We start from the raw sequence: 15,176 nt of genomic DNA, 5'->3' as shown, positions 1-15,176 counted from the left end.
AGCAGAAGTCCCTGATTTATTTCTGCATTTATTTTAGTTTAAAAAAAAATGAAGAGAGTAAATCCCAATTCACAAAGAACTGTAGTTATAGAATTATTGTATTAGTCCATTCTCGCACTGCTATAAAGAACTACCTGAGGCTGCGTAATTTATAAAGACAAGAGGTTTAATTGGTGCATGGTTCCACAGGCTGTACATGAAGCATGGCTGGGGAGGCCTCAGGAAACTTAGAATCATGGCTGAGGGTGAGGGAAAAGCAAGCACGTCTTACATGGCTGGAGTGGGAGGAAGACAGCACAGGGGGAGGTGCTACACACTTTTAATCAGCCAGATCTCCTGAGAACTCACTCAATATCACAAGAACAGCAAGGGGGCAATCCTCCCCCATGATCCAATCACCTCCCACCAGGCCCCTTCTCCAACACTGGGGATTACAATTCTACATGAGATTTGGGCAGGGACGCAAATCCAAACCATATCATTTCAGCCCTGGCCCCTCCCACATCTCATGTCCTTCTCATATTGCAAAATACAATCATCCCTTCTCAACAGTCCCCCAAGTCTTAACTCATTTCAGCATTAACTCAAAAGTCCACAGTCCAAAGTCTCATGAGACGAGGCAACTCCCTTTCACCTATTAGAGAGTCAGCCTGTCCTTTGAAGCTTTGAGGCCAGTCATTGACCTCTCTTTTCTGTGAAAGTTCTTGATGGCATTATCTTCTAATTGAAGGCTGTTTTGTCTACATAGAAAATATATTGTTTAATGTAGCTACACTCATCAAAGGTCTTAGCTGGATCTTCTGGATAGGTTGCTGCAATTTCTGTATCAGCACTTGCTTCTTCACTTTGCACTTTCGTGTTTTGGAGATGGCTTCTTTCTTTAAGCCTCATGAACCAACCTCTGCTGGCTTCAAATTTTTCTTCATCAGCTTCCTCATCTCTTTCTTTCAGCATTCATAGAATTGAAGAGAGTTAGAGTCTTATTCTGGATTAGGCTTTGGATTAAGGAAATCTGGCTTGTTTGACCTTCTATCTAGACCATTCAACCTTTCTCCACATCAACAATAGGAGTTTCTCACTTTCTTATCATTGTGTGTTTGCTGGAGGAGCACTTTTAGTTTTCTTCAATAACTTTTCCTTTGCATTCACGAATTGGCTGTTTGGCACAAGGGACCTAGCTTTCGGCCTATCTTGGCTTTTGATATGCCCTCCTCACTAAGCTTAATCATTCATAGCTTTTGCTTTAAAGTGAGAGAGATGAGATTCTTCCTTCCATTTGAATGTTTAGAGGTTACTGTAGGGTTATTAATTAACCCAATTTCCATAATATTGTGTCTCAGGTAATAGGGAGATCTAAGGAGATGGAGAGAAATGGGAATGACCCGTTGGTGGAGCAGTCAGAATACACAGAACATTTATTGATTAAGTTTGCCATCTTATTTGTCCTGTGGGCACAGTTCAGGTGCCCCAGTACAATTACAATACAATTACAAAAATAACATGCAAGATCACTGATGACAGATAACAGTAACAGATATATTAATAATAAAAAAGTTTGAAGTACTGTGGGAATTACCAAAATGTGACACAGAGACAGAAAGTGAGGACATGCTATTAGAAAAAGAGCACTGATAGACTTGCTGGATGCAGAATTTCTATAAACCTTCAATTTGTAAAAAACATAATACAAAGTACAATAAAATAAAGTGCAATAAAATGAGGTATGTCTATATTTTTATATTACATACTAAGCACTTGGTGGGGTGCATGTCACACAGGAAATAGTCATATAGTATTGGGGAATAAATGATCAAAATAATCACATAAAATATACTTATGCTGTTTATTATGGTTTATATTACCTTTACTTTTTCAATATTAGAACTATCACAGACAGAAATTTTGGCCATTTTTCTAAACTGAAAGTACTTGGAAGGGAAAAACATTCCTATTGTATTTTTGAATCATTGAATTTCTGTCTTCACCAGTATATAGAAAGTATTTAGATTGGTGCAAAAGTAATTGTAGTTTTTGCCAATGAAAGTAAGGCCAAAAATTACAATTACTTTTGCACCAACCTAATACATATAAAATATGTTACAATCGAACAGTATCCACGCATCTCACTCTGCAGATGAGGTAACTAGGGCCAGGGAATACAAACTAGTTGTAATTACACTAGGTTGCCTGAGTCCTGTTCCAGCTCCCATTCACTCATTCAGCAAATAATTATGAACTCCCATTTTCTGTCTACTATTTTCAAAGTTAAAATTATTGACGATTCTGTAATGGGTAATTGCTGGTCATGGGTTGATAGTCTGGATTGACCTTTCAAATTTAAAGAAAACACTGTACAGAACTACATTCAGTATCATATTCAGCATGCTGAGTAATTTTGTTTGGGTTGATTAGGTTTAATATTTTAGAATAAAAGAGATTTCTAATGAAGCTTACATTAAGTAAACCCTCCCTAGGTCAAATTTTATTAAGTTTATGTTAATTATGACCTTTATTGGAATACCACCTTATTCTTAAAATAATTATTTTTTAAAAGCATGAGAAAACGGTTTCCAGCAACTTTTTAATATGAAAAGTCTCCATTAATGAAACTTATCTCTTTCTAGATCTTTTTGAGAAAATATGTTTCTTAGAACAAAGATTAACTTAAGTAGTGACAATTAATAAACTAGATGTTAAAAGTGGTGGCCAGAGGCCTTAGAAATGTAAAGAAAACAGTAGAAAAGCTTGTATACCAAAGAAATTAGGAAGCTGCATTGCTCACAGAGGCAACAGCTGGATAGGAATCCAAAGGGAAAGAGGCTTGGTCCTATTATTGGCTACTATTGATCTAATGACTTAATATTTGCTTGGAAATCGATGTCTGGGACTGACCATTGATCTTTTCACTTCACAGTGTATTCTTGAGAGTAATATATGGTTCTTAATCATCTGAGTATTCATAATATCTGGCTCTGCATTAATAAATACACAATTTAATGAATGAATAAATGAATGGATGGACAATAATATGAAAATGCATAGTTTTTTTTCTTATAGGAGCAGTTAAATTTTGAGTCAGCTTCCATTATGTACATACTCAACCTGAATAGTAGTTTCAGTAACACGTTAAAAGTAAATGTTGGCCAGACGCAGTGGCTCATGCCTGTAATCCCAGCACTTTGGGAGGCCAAAGTGATTATTGTATCACTTATTTGTGATTATTGTATCACAGCCTTACAAATATTCAATTATTTGTGTAGATCAAAATGAGAATCAAAGGGGTAACAGCCTTATTTGTAACATTTTAGATTTTTATCAGGAGGAAATATTACTGTATTCCTTATGCAATTAACATCAATTTGAATGCTTTAAAATGAGAATCATTAGCAGAATGGAAAATTATAACAAACCTTCGATGTACAAGAGGAAAAGAGATAGGTTTTAGGTAAATTCTTTATTTTTTCGTAATGAGAGCAAAATTAATTGTTTTAACAATGATTATATCAGGATACAGATGAATAGCACTAAATTCTAAATAGAATTGGGGTGAGACTAACAATGTTATTCTTGGGAACGGACCTAGAGGTAGGCCGGAGATTTCAGTTTCTGTTACTCTGTTACTGTTAATTGTCATTTGAATGCCCCTTCCTCCCCAAATAGGCACATACTTATGTATTCAATTGTGAAACTATTAGTAGTTTTTACATAATCTTAATGAAATACATACTCCTAGAGGTGGCCAAAGAGTTTTGAATTATATGTCTTAACTAATAAACGAAATGAAAACATTTGACACGGCAAAATCCTTTCGTAACATGCAAGTCATCCATGTTTGGGCAAATCTCAGAAAACTGGCATCCAGCTACTTCCACCTACAAAAAGAGACAGAATGAAAAAAAAAAAAAGCTCTGCTGGGCACTGCATTAGCCCGACTCATCCTGAAATAAATATTTATTATCACTGTCCCAAATAATTCTTAAAACTCTGATTCTTAATATATAACTCTTATTAAAAGGCAATCAAAATGAAGTAAAATGATTTAACTCCACCAGCAATGATCCTCTATCTTGTGGTCACTGGTTATTATTCTGGATGTACTATTTATCCAATAGCAGTTTTTAAATCGACTATTATATGCACAGCTTGGGGGCTTGTATGTTTGAGGCTTGAGGGGATGTGGATACTGATGTGTGTGTGTGTGTGTGTGTGTGTGTGTGTGTGTAGCATGGAATTCTACGTATATAGTTCATTAATCTATTTTCTTCAACTTTCTGTTAACAATTCTATCAATCATAATTTAATGCAGATACAAATAATTCCTTTAAAAAATGAGGATCCCAATTTTGAGCGCATGCAATACCAGGGATCCGGCATCTGAACAGGAGGCTTTCTACCATCAGTTTGTTGCTCTCCTGTAATCACTCTACCTCCATCAGCAAGTCTTTTTAGAGAGTCAGTGACCCATTGATAGGTGCACTCATGGTGTACACAGCACTATTGTTTAACACTGTGAAATTCTGCCTGCCAGACGGTGCCACAGGGAAACAGCATCACTGGCAGGTGGCTGGTTTGCCTTGATGTTTCGATACCTATTTCTGGCGAAGATTCTTTCCCCTTTCTATTTTGCTATTTTCTCTCTTACAAAAAGCTGTCTTCCCAAGAGCCTTCCACCAATGTCATGAACCAGAGTTCATTTCTGTCAGTTCTCAGGTTGATTGCCCATCACAGAGTAATGTCCAAACATGAGAAATTGTGATAATTAAACTTCTTTTTTTTTTCTTTGCACAGAATAACTAATTGTAAAAATTGGCAGTCAGCCTGCCATTTGAAAGTGAAGAAAACATCTTGTTTTAACATCTGAGCAGGGATTTTTTTTGTAATCTGTAAACAATTGGACCATATGTAGTGTGATGGGAAACATGAAGGCTGTGATAGAACATCATTGAAGGAACCTTGTGTTTAATCGCTGTTCTTTGATTCACTGAAATAGAAATTAGCTTTTTAAGTTCTGTGTTTTACCACGATTTTAAAGAGACAGTTTTTCTTAAAAGATCAGACCATACTGACAATTTACCAAGTGACGACCGAGAGAGGAAAGGGAATTTCAATTTTTTAAATGTAAATATGTTTTAAAGACACCTAAACAGGTAACAGATGTAGCCATGGGCTTTTACAGCCTTTGTTTTGGCCAGTAATTCACTTCAGGGATACAAAGAATCTTCACACAATATGGTTCAACTCTTAGAAGGTGAATTTTTTTCCTAAATAACTTCTGTTGATGAAACTGAAGTTAAGTAAAATTACCACCACTGATTAAGTTAAAACTTAAAAAAATAAGGTATGCCCTCTCCTAATTTTGCTATATTTTCCAGCTCATTATGTATATAGCAGGACAAATTAACTATGGTGTTAAAAAAAAAGGTGGCTGTTGAAATTCAGAATAACTGTTGAAATCCTTGTATCTTATGATACATAATTATATGTATCATTACCTTATGATACATAATTATATGTATCATTACCTTATGATACATATGGTATATATGGTATTATAGGTACCATGGTTACACTTCTTTACATTCAGTTGATGATACTAAAGAAAAATTACATGACCAAGTGAATTTTGAAATAATTACAAGGGAAACCGTCTGTACCATTGTATAAAAAGGAAAATGTTTGAAGCAGAAACAGAGCTAGATTCTCTGCCTGACTCACCATTAGCTGGACTTCAAGTTTTCTATGACTAACTTTATCTTTCTTTCCGTGCCTTGGTGTCCTTTTCCCTAAAATTAGCTGATTAGATCAGGTCAGTGATTTTTTTTAAAAGAAGAGGAATTGAGACCAATCAGAATCACCTGAAGAACTTTTGCAAAACATTGCTGGGGGAGAATGTCTCATTTCACTTCTATTTTTTCCTTATGTCTCCCCAGAGTCATGCAGGGTGAGCCATTCTTGCCACTGAGAAGTATGTCATATCTGAGAACAACTGACCCAGATAATTGCTCAGTAAGAGTATATTTGAGATTATTGAAGACTTAAAAGCATCTCATTATTAAATGTGCTATATCATGTTTTTCACTTTAGGCTCCAAGTGTTTTTGACTTGATAAAGTTTTGTTGTGTTAATTTTGATCACTTTAATCTTTTATTGGATCATTTTCCCACATTAAATTTAAATAGGAAGAACATATGTACTGCTGTTTTGCCATAAACTCTGATGTGCCTCAACTGGCTTCCAACTTCAGTCTGTTCTGGAAGGCTGTACTTACAGGTCTCAGCCAGCAAGCTGAAACTGACAAAGGAGCGTTCCACTTCTCTGCTGTAAAAGTTGTACTTACCTTGTTTTCATGAAACCAATCTCCGTTTCCAAGGAAACAAGAACAAAAAGGCAGTTGGCAGCTAGCATCTGGGACTTAGAAGAACTCTCACATGTCAATTTCAACTGCTGGCTGCCGGCTCAAACGTAAAGATGTGGGGTATTAAAATCACCTTCAGACTTGTAACGTACAAAAGAATATTAAGGTTTTTTCCTTAGTGTTTAAATAATCAAGTTTAATAGCAAACCATTTAAAATATCCTTTGAAATACTATAACAAATATTATAATTGTTAAAAATTATCTAATACAAAAACTTGTTTTATTTAAAAACAGTAGGCACATATATTGCAGATATTTTCTCAGTTTTACACCATAAATTTTTGCCACTTTTCCCCTTTTACTTAATCATTTCACTTTCTCCTTTTTAAATAATGATTCATATGGTCCCAACTACTTACTCCTTTCTCTTTTCTTTTTTTTTTTTTTTTTTTTTTGATTCATGCAAAATATCCAGATAGTGTCTGTTTTATCCGTAAAGCTTTGTGGCCATGTTTAGTGTTTTAATAAAGTGTTTTAATGATGAAACATGAAAATGCACATTGTCATTTTTCTCTTAAAAATATAATTTCATGATTCTAGGCTTGGACACCTACATTAACACAACCTGCTTCTTCCGAATAGCACTTGTTCGTTTCACATGGGTAGGCACTTCAGAGTTCACTGCAGTCCTCATCATTCCATGCAGTCTCCAGGCCTTCTGTGTCATGGCTTTTAGATACGTTTGAGTTTTTAGACTCCTGCTAAAAGACAAACCTGGTTGGTAGGCAAGATTTGCACAGGAATGGGAAAGATACTTTTTGCCTGGAAAACAGAAACTTGTGGAAATTCTTTAGGCATTTAGATATTCCTATGAAAAGATGAATAATTTTTTTAATACATATATATTATTATACTTTAAGTTCTAGGGTACATGTGCACAACATGCAGGTTTGTTACATATGTATACACGTGCCATGTTGGTGTGCTGCACCCATTAACTCGTCATTTACATTAGGTATATCTCCTAATGCTATCGATGAATAATTTTTAAGAAAATGGAATTTCAAACTGATACTTACACTCTGCCTTGGGTTATATTATTTTATATTATCCTACTATTTAATTACTAGCTTTAAGTTAAAAATGTAGGTCTTTTAGAATTTCCCTCTTTTGAATGTTTTGTCACTTTACAGTATACTAATGTCCTTTGAAATCCAGGATGCCAGTGAATAGATATTAGTAGGTGAAATATTATGAAAAATTATACAGAAAGTAATTTATCAGATTTGTGATGTGGACTTATTTTATTACATTTTATTGGTACCGCATTTGTAATGGGCTCTAAGGATAAATTTGTATAATTTTGGAAACTGTCATGTTAGACTTCTGCAATTAAATATGCTTACTTTTCTACAAAATAGAAATATGATCAATAGTAAGATAATAAACTTAGGAAGGAACATTTTTATTGTAACTTCACCTAATTTCTGTGTTCCCAAATCTGTACTTGTAAAAATCTTTTATTGTATTTTCTTTTCTTGGCACAACATTCCAGTAATTTACATTTCTCACTTGTAAATTCAGATAATGTTTAATATTTTCACATTTTCTGGACTAGGCATATGAGATGCTCATGATCAACATCTTTTGCTACTGTTGGAAAGTCAGCTTAGGGGGACAGGTGCAGTGGCTTATGCCTGTAATCCCAGCACTTTGGGAGGCCGAGGTGGGGGATCATGAGGTCAGGAGATCGAGACCATCCTGGCCACCATGGTGAAACCCTGTCTCTACTAAAAATACAAAAATTAGCTGGGCATGGTGGCTCGCCCCTGTAGTCCCAGCTACTTGGGATGCTGAGGCAGGAGAATCGCTTGAACCTGGGAGGCAGAGGTTGTAATAAGCCGAGATTGCTCCACTGCACTCCAGCCTGGGCAACAAGAGAGAAACTCCGTCTCAAAAAAAAAAAAAAAAAAAGTCAACTTAGGGGAAAAACCATGAGCACTTGCTTGAAAGCCATAATAAAGACTACTCAAGAAGTAGTTGCAAAGAATTGATAATGTTATAAGTGATAAAAATTTATCTCCTAAGTTTGAGAAACCTCCAAAGTTGGAAAATATTGCAAACTTTACTCCAAAATACAGTCAAATTAAAAAATAAAACCAAACCCCAGTATTACCGTTTTTAGATTTTTTAGTTAATATATAAGTCACTTATCATAAAATTCACCACTTAAAAATGTACAATTTATGGTTTCAGTATATTCACAATGTTGTACCACCATCACCTCTAGCTGAAGGAATTTTTTTTTGTCACCCTAAAAAGAAACCCCTCACTCATTATCAGCCACTCTCCATTCCCTTCCTCCATTCTCTGGCAACAGATTTATTTTCTTCCTCTATGTATTTGCCTATTCTGGATGTTTCATGTAAATAAAATTACATAATATGTGACCTTTTGCATTTGGCTTCTTTCCTTAAGCATGATATTTTCAAGGTTCATCCATGTTGCAGCATATAGTATATCAGTACTTTGTTCCTTTTTATGTTACATAAAATTCCATTGCATGAATATAATAAATTATATTTATCCTTTCATCAGTTGATAGCATTTTCTGTTGTTTCTAATTTTTGGCTCTTATGAATAATGTTGATATGAACATTCACGTACATTTTGGTGTGAACATATGTTTTTGATTCTCTTGGGCATACACATAGGATTGGATTGCTGGGCCATATGGTAATTCCAAAATATTATTTTAATTGAAATAATACAAACAAGTTTTTGTAATGTTGGAAATGGGACTGAAGGTAGAAGAGTATACAGTTTTACCCAAAAATTGCTCTTAAAAGCTTATCAATAACAACAAAACACAAGCAAACACCTGTCAAGTATAGTTGTTTGTAGAGTGATGCTTCTCTTTGTTTGTTTCTGTTTGGGTTTTTGTTCCTATTTATATAATAAGATTTTAGTAACAAAGGATTTAGCATCATATATTACTCAGAAATCAGATGTGCTAATTTCAAGTTTTGAAAATATAAAAATATAGGCTCAAAATATTTAGATAAATTAGAAGCAGAGATATTATGAAGCCTAGTAGTCATTATACATTACTATCTAAAGTCAAAGGTCATAATTAACATCTAACATAAGAAGAAAATTAGTTTGTTTAAAATACAGAAACCAAAGGTACAATGTGTTCAGTAAGAAAACACTTCTCATTTTCTTCTGCTACTTATTGTCAACATACACGGTTACTGTGAAAATGCTTCAAATCTGCTATTTCATTGAAATAGAAAATTTAGCCTAGTAATTTTACTGATTTGTTTATTTTTCTGTAATAATAATATGTACCTGAGATTGGAGTTTCAGACTTCTCTCTCTCTCTCTCCCTCTCCCTCTCTCTCTCTCTCTCTCTCTGTGTGTGTGTGTGTGTGTGTGTGTGTGTGTACGGGTATGTTTTAAAGTATGAGTTTATACTTTAGAGCATATATATACACACACATATATGTATGTATATGTGTGCATGTACTCTCTTTTTATAATTAGGAAAAATTTCTTACGTGAATATCTCTGTTCTGTGGTGACATTTACCTGTGCTCAGCAATTTGCTTCCTTTTATATAAAGTTCATTTTTTACAAAAATCTTATTTAATTTAATATTCCCCTCTTGAAAAGGGATGACAATAAAGTCACATACAAAAAAATTAATCCAACTGGCCTTTCTTGTTTTTCTAAAAACTTTTCATTCAAACATTTCTTATTATCATTTATTGCACATAGCATGGATTAATCAAATAAGTTTAAAATAAAATAATAGACTAGAGAAAGGTGCTTTATTTTAAAAACAGAAACAAAAAGAAGGTACGTGGATTATCTGATGCTACATCACACTCTGGGAGAGACTTCCCTTCTTTCAGAGAGCCTCTCATTTCTTAATGTGGATCATTTTGCTCTTTCCCCCTGATAATGCTCACTTACTCTCTTTCATAATCTCCCCCTCTTTCACTTGTTCTTTTCTTTCCAATCATCCAATGATCCATCAAGGTACTTTGGTGTTCAGTGCTTTCTCATATGGTTCAACTCAGATCATGTAGTCTTTCTCACCCAACCAATTCAACTACTGTTTCCTGAGACCCCACTATGTCCTTGACTCTGTAAGGAGTTCCTGAATACAAAAAAAAAAAAAAAAAAAAAAAGAGAGTACTCCAGAAGTGCAAAATAGGATATCATTTTTGCTTTCCCATAAATATAATTTGCTTGTATACCAAAAATGCGGAAAGGTAAGGATATGAGATAATGTCTATTTATAAAGACAAGAAAGTGAGATACACAAACTGGACTAGGGCAAGACACTTTCAAGGGAGATAAAATAGGATAAGTAAGTAACAGAGGGGTAACTATCTTACCATGTCTTAAAGTAAGAGTGGTCCCATTTTACAAAATTTTATAAATTAATACCATAGTAAGGGGATAAGGCACCAAAACTCCCCAAACTTAGACAGATTAAAGAAGGTTACTGCAATGGAAAGTAAGAAAACATCTAATTTGAATTACACCATTATGGAATGTAAGACACTCTGATGGGAAAAAACTGGTCCAGTAAGATCAGAGATAAGTTGGTAGCAAAATGTTTGAGCAGTGGATACAGCAAATGATGATATATGTTCAGCCTTGGCCATTATATAAGTCAAGTTTTGGAGGTCTGAAAAGTCAAATGTCTTACTCAGAGTCACACAGTATATTAAAACACAGTAAAACTAGAACTCAGTTATTAACTTTTGCCTTTTTAATGTGGATGTTTACCCACTCTGTAGTGCATGGGTGAGGCTTGTACATGGTATAAATGGAATACACCCCTTGGGAGATTGTTAGAGAGACATACATGCCAACAGTAAAAGTAGCACTGAGGTCAGGATTTCTTACCCTGAAACCATAAACAAAGACAACAGTTATATAAATACATATGTACTTATATAAGCTTAATAATATATAATGCTATTTGTTGATCATTTCGTAAGCTCCAGGCATTAAATCAATGCATAATATATATTTTCTCATTTAAATCTCACATTAAATTTGTTGGAAATGGAGCTTAAATGAGTGAAGGCACTTGTTCTTTTTATATATCTGTTTTCTTAATTTTAATACATAAATATTTCTCGATAGATTTTTCTAAAGAAACTATACCAAAACTGTGTATCTATTCATTTTAAATCACAATAGATACATGAAAAAATATGAATCTTAGACAAAATATGATAACAACATATACAGTTATACCGCACAGTATTTTTATAGAAGTATTACATTTGTTTATTAGATTATTCATTTACTTTGAGAGAAAGCCATTAAGAAGATAAGGGATTATTGGTGATGTGTAGTCAATATTAAATTTAATGCAATGTGTTCTTTCCATAGTTTTAATCCAGCCTCCTTCTATGTCTGTAATTTCTCTACATTATACAGTGAACTACTGAACCCTTAGTAATTATATAAGAGAGAACAGAGGAAATTTCTACCAAAAAACCAATTCTTAAAAAATGCTTAGTTATATTATCTCAGTGTAATCAACTTTTGAGTGAAAATAATTATTTGAAGTTCAGAAATACCTCTGTAATTCCATTTTATGTGTTAGTTTCAATTGCAAATCTCACCGAATCTGTAGTCCCAGTAATGCAAAACTGTAAAATTGACTGATTTGAGCCATACCTATATTCTTCTCCTGCCCATCAGATGTTAAAGGTGCTAATGAACTGTGAAATGGCCAAAGGCAGACAGCCAGAGGGAAAAAAGAAGAGAAGCCACAGACCTGGGTCATCACAAAATGAGTAATTAGCCATTGAATAATGAAGAATTTAAATACGTTAAGGCTCTGCCTGCTACATGCATTTTTTATTAAAATTTTCTAGAGATGTAGCTCAAAATCTATTTTCAGAAGTTCTAAAGACTTTGTTCATTTCATTGACTATAGCTGAAAAGACCCACACACTCAGAATCCTCAATATGGGTTTAGAATGGAATATATATCCATTCCTTTCATGAAAGGAAGATCCTTAGATGATATAAGAAATATAAATATTTTGCAAGTAATCATATTCCGAATTGTAGAATATATTATTTACACAGATATGTATCTAATCTACACTGAAGTTATAGATACTGTATTTAAACTCTTCACATCAGCACAAGATTTTTATTATACTAATCTTTATTACTTTGTGTGATCCTATCAATATAAGTAGCAATTTTAGTTGTAGATCTATTAGTCCACAATTAATTTCAAATTTTATCAGTCTTATGTTTAGAAAATAATAAAATTTATAATTTATTGCTTTGTGTTTATGTGTGAGTGAGCACATGGATGAGCACACATGTATGTGTGTGAATAGATTTTATTTTGTGGTACCAAGAACCACTGAGGCCAAAAGAAGAGAATGTGGCAGATGGCTTAAAATATATTTGCTCTCCATAATGAATGTAAATATAAATATAAAATAGGACTCCTTAGAAATGAGTTATTTATTTCTATTTTGCTGAGTCAGGAATCACTTGCAAAAAACTAATACTTATAATTTTTGGATATAATTTTGACCCTGAAAAAGTACTCTACAAACATTCGAGTTCTTAATTGTTTTCCACTCTGAGATTTTTTTCTGGTTTTCAAGCTGAATCACTATTTTTTTTTCTTTTTTGCTTGTGGAAAAGGTGTGCTTTGCATCTCTATCATCTTGGATCTCATTTAAAAGAAAATGAAAAGCAATATATAGATATATCCCTCTCTTTCCATCTTGTTTATAAATTTTCAGTATTATTTTTTCCCGGACACTTGACAGAGTGACTGGTAACTACATGTATACCATTGATTTTTAAATTAAGATCTTTAGGATAAATGAGATATGCAATTTTAATTGTAGATGATCTAAATATTCTAGTCCAATATCACTGACATATGTCATTATAGAAATATAAACAAATGATTTCATCAACTATTGCAGGCAATCTCTAAAATTTAGTGTAATGAACATAAGTTTTATGGTATAGAACTCACTTTTATGCATTAATGTTTTATTTGTATTGTCAGTGTCTTAAATTAAAATGGTGTTTATTAACGTGTTCAGGTTAAACTATTAACCAATTGACTGTAATACAAGTATATGTATTAATATTATTCAAATATTTATCTCCAAATCATCTTCAGGGAATATGTTTTGAGAACATCCCTTGTTTGATAACCAAGATTCTAAACATTGGCTGAGTTATTTTAGTGCTGATCACTATTACTGGAACTTTTTTTCTCACTTAGTTATTTTAGTATTACCTTAATAGAGACTCTCACTTTTCCTAGATCTGATAGTTCCTCCTTTGTTTGAGATATTATCTTATTGCACTTTAATAATAGCTATACTCTAGACAATCTCTTTAAAATAAAATATGCTCTCCACCTTGGTATTTTTGATTTACCATTGTTGTTACTATTATAATTTCTACTACGACTACAGTTACTACTACTCTTGCTGAGGCGTCATTGCAGTGAAGCAGGAGGCTGCCAATCCCACCTATGGATGCTAAGATGTGTAATTCTGTATGCAACCTGATTTCCTTCCCTGGCCACATTTATTCTTTTTATTGGAATTTGGGACCTGAATTCAGGCATACATTTATTCCATGTGAGTACAGATTTTGTAAGATAACAGGGACTCATGGCTTGGGGATGCCTTTTTGGAACAGCCATCACTACCAAGTGGACAGTTTCTCAGAGAACTACAAAGATAAACAATTATGCTGACCACAAAAAGAAGATCAAGTGAGTAGTGGACTAAACAAATCTAAAGTTCCAGTGAGTACTGACATTTCATTTCATCTATGAAAGATGCTGCTGTCTTCACTAACAAAGACTGTATCCTGTGTTTTTTCCTTGTTTTAACTTAAATTACTTTGCACTGGTTTCTGTTTCTTGAGGTTAAATATGCCTTAAGACTACACTTAATGGAGCTTAATTATACTTTTATAATTTCTGAGTTAATTGGTTGACTCGGTTAAATTTCTATTTTCTTTAAAAATTTTCAAATCTTTATCAATAATTTGTTTTCACAAGGTACTTTTGGGGTTCATTAAACTGTTCTATATCTTGATTACAGTAGTGGTTATGTAATTCTATGCATTTGTCTAAATTTATAGAACTGTATGCTAAAAAGAGTTAATTTTACTGTATGTAAATTTTTTTTTTTTTTTTTTTTTGAGGTGGAGTATCACTCTTTTGCCTAGGCTGGAGTGCAGTGATGCAATCTCGGCTCACCACAACCTTCCGTCTCCCGGGTTCAAGCAATTCTCTTGCCTCAGTCTCCCAAGTAGCTGGGACTACAGGCGCGCACACCATGCCAGGCTAATTTTTGTATTTTTAGTAGAGACTGGGTTTCACTATTTGGCCAAACTAGTCTCGAACTCCTAACCTCATGATCTGCCTGCTTCCGCCTCCCAAAGTTGTAAATCCCAAAGGAATTAGAGGCGTGAGCCATCGTGAAAGTATTCTTAAAGTATGCTTTTTAAAAGGATATTGAATATACTATCATATAATTTTGATGTCTCTATCAGATATCTGATAAATCAAGGAAATATGAAATCAGAATTATCAATATAATTATCACTTTTTTGTTTTAGAATATGAGCTTCATGAAAACAGGGCATTGTCTTGCTTTATGCTTTGCCCTGATACTTAGCTCATTATAGGCACTCAAGAAATGTCATTGACTTAATAAATTAATTAATTCTTGAACATTATAGGATATGTAATAATGGCTATCATATATTAAAGGCCCAATT

General features: G+C 33.6%; 1 long non-coding RNA gene across 5 annotated transcripts in view; it reads right to left on the bottom strand.

Annotated features, from left to right (window-relative positions):
- The window catches only part of LOC105379080 (uncharacterized), a 166,831-nt gene that overhangs the window by 82,924 nt on the left and 68,731 nt on the right, over window positions 1-15,176 (bottom strand). For 2 of the 5 annotated variants that reach the window (XR_001742806.2, XR_007058865.1), the window contains exon 3: window positions 6,971-7,117. The exons of 1 other annotated variant lie outside the window; for it this stretch is intronic. This is a non-coding gene — a long non-coding RNA (uncharacterized LOC105379080). Of the gene's footprint in view, window positions 1-145; window positions 3,873-4,020; window positions 7,118-15,176 lie in introns of those variants that run through there. 2 more of the 5 variants (XR_001742805.2, XR_007058866.1) reach the window with 2 other exon arrangements.

This window comes from Homo sapiens, chromosome 5 (genome assembly GCF_000001405.40).
Source record: "Homo sapiens chromosome 5, GRCh38.p14 Primary Assembly".
Taxonomy (NCBI): Eukaryota; Metazoa; Chordata; class Mammalia; order Primates; family Hominidae; genus Homo; species Homo sapiens.
The sequence above is the reverse complement of the archived record's forward strand: the minus strand, read 5'-3'. Positions and strand labels throughout refer to the sequence as shown.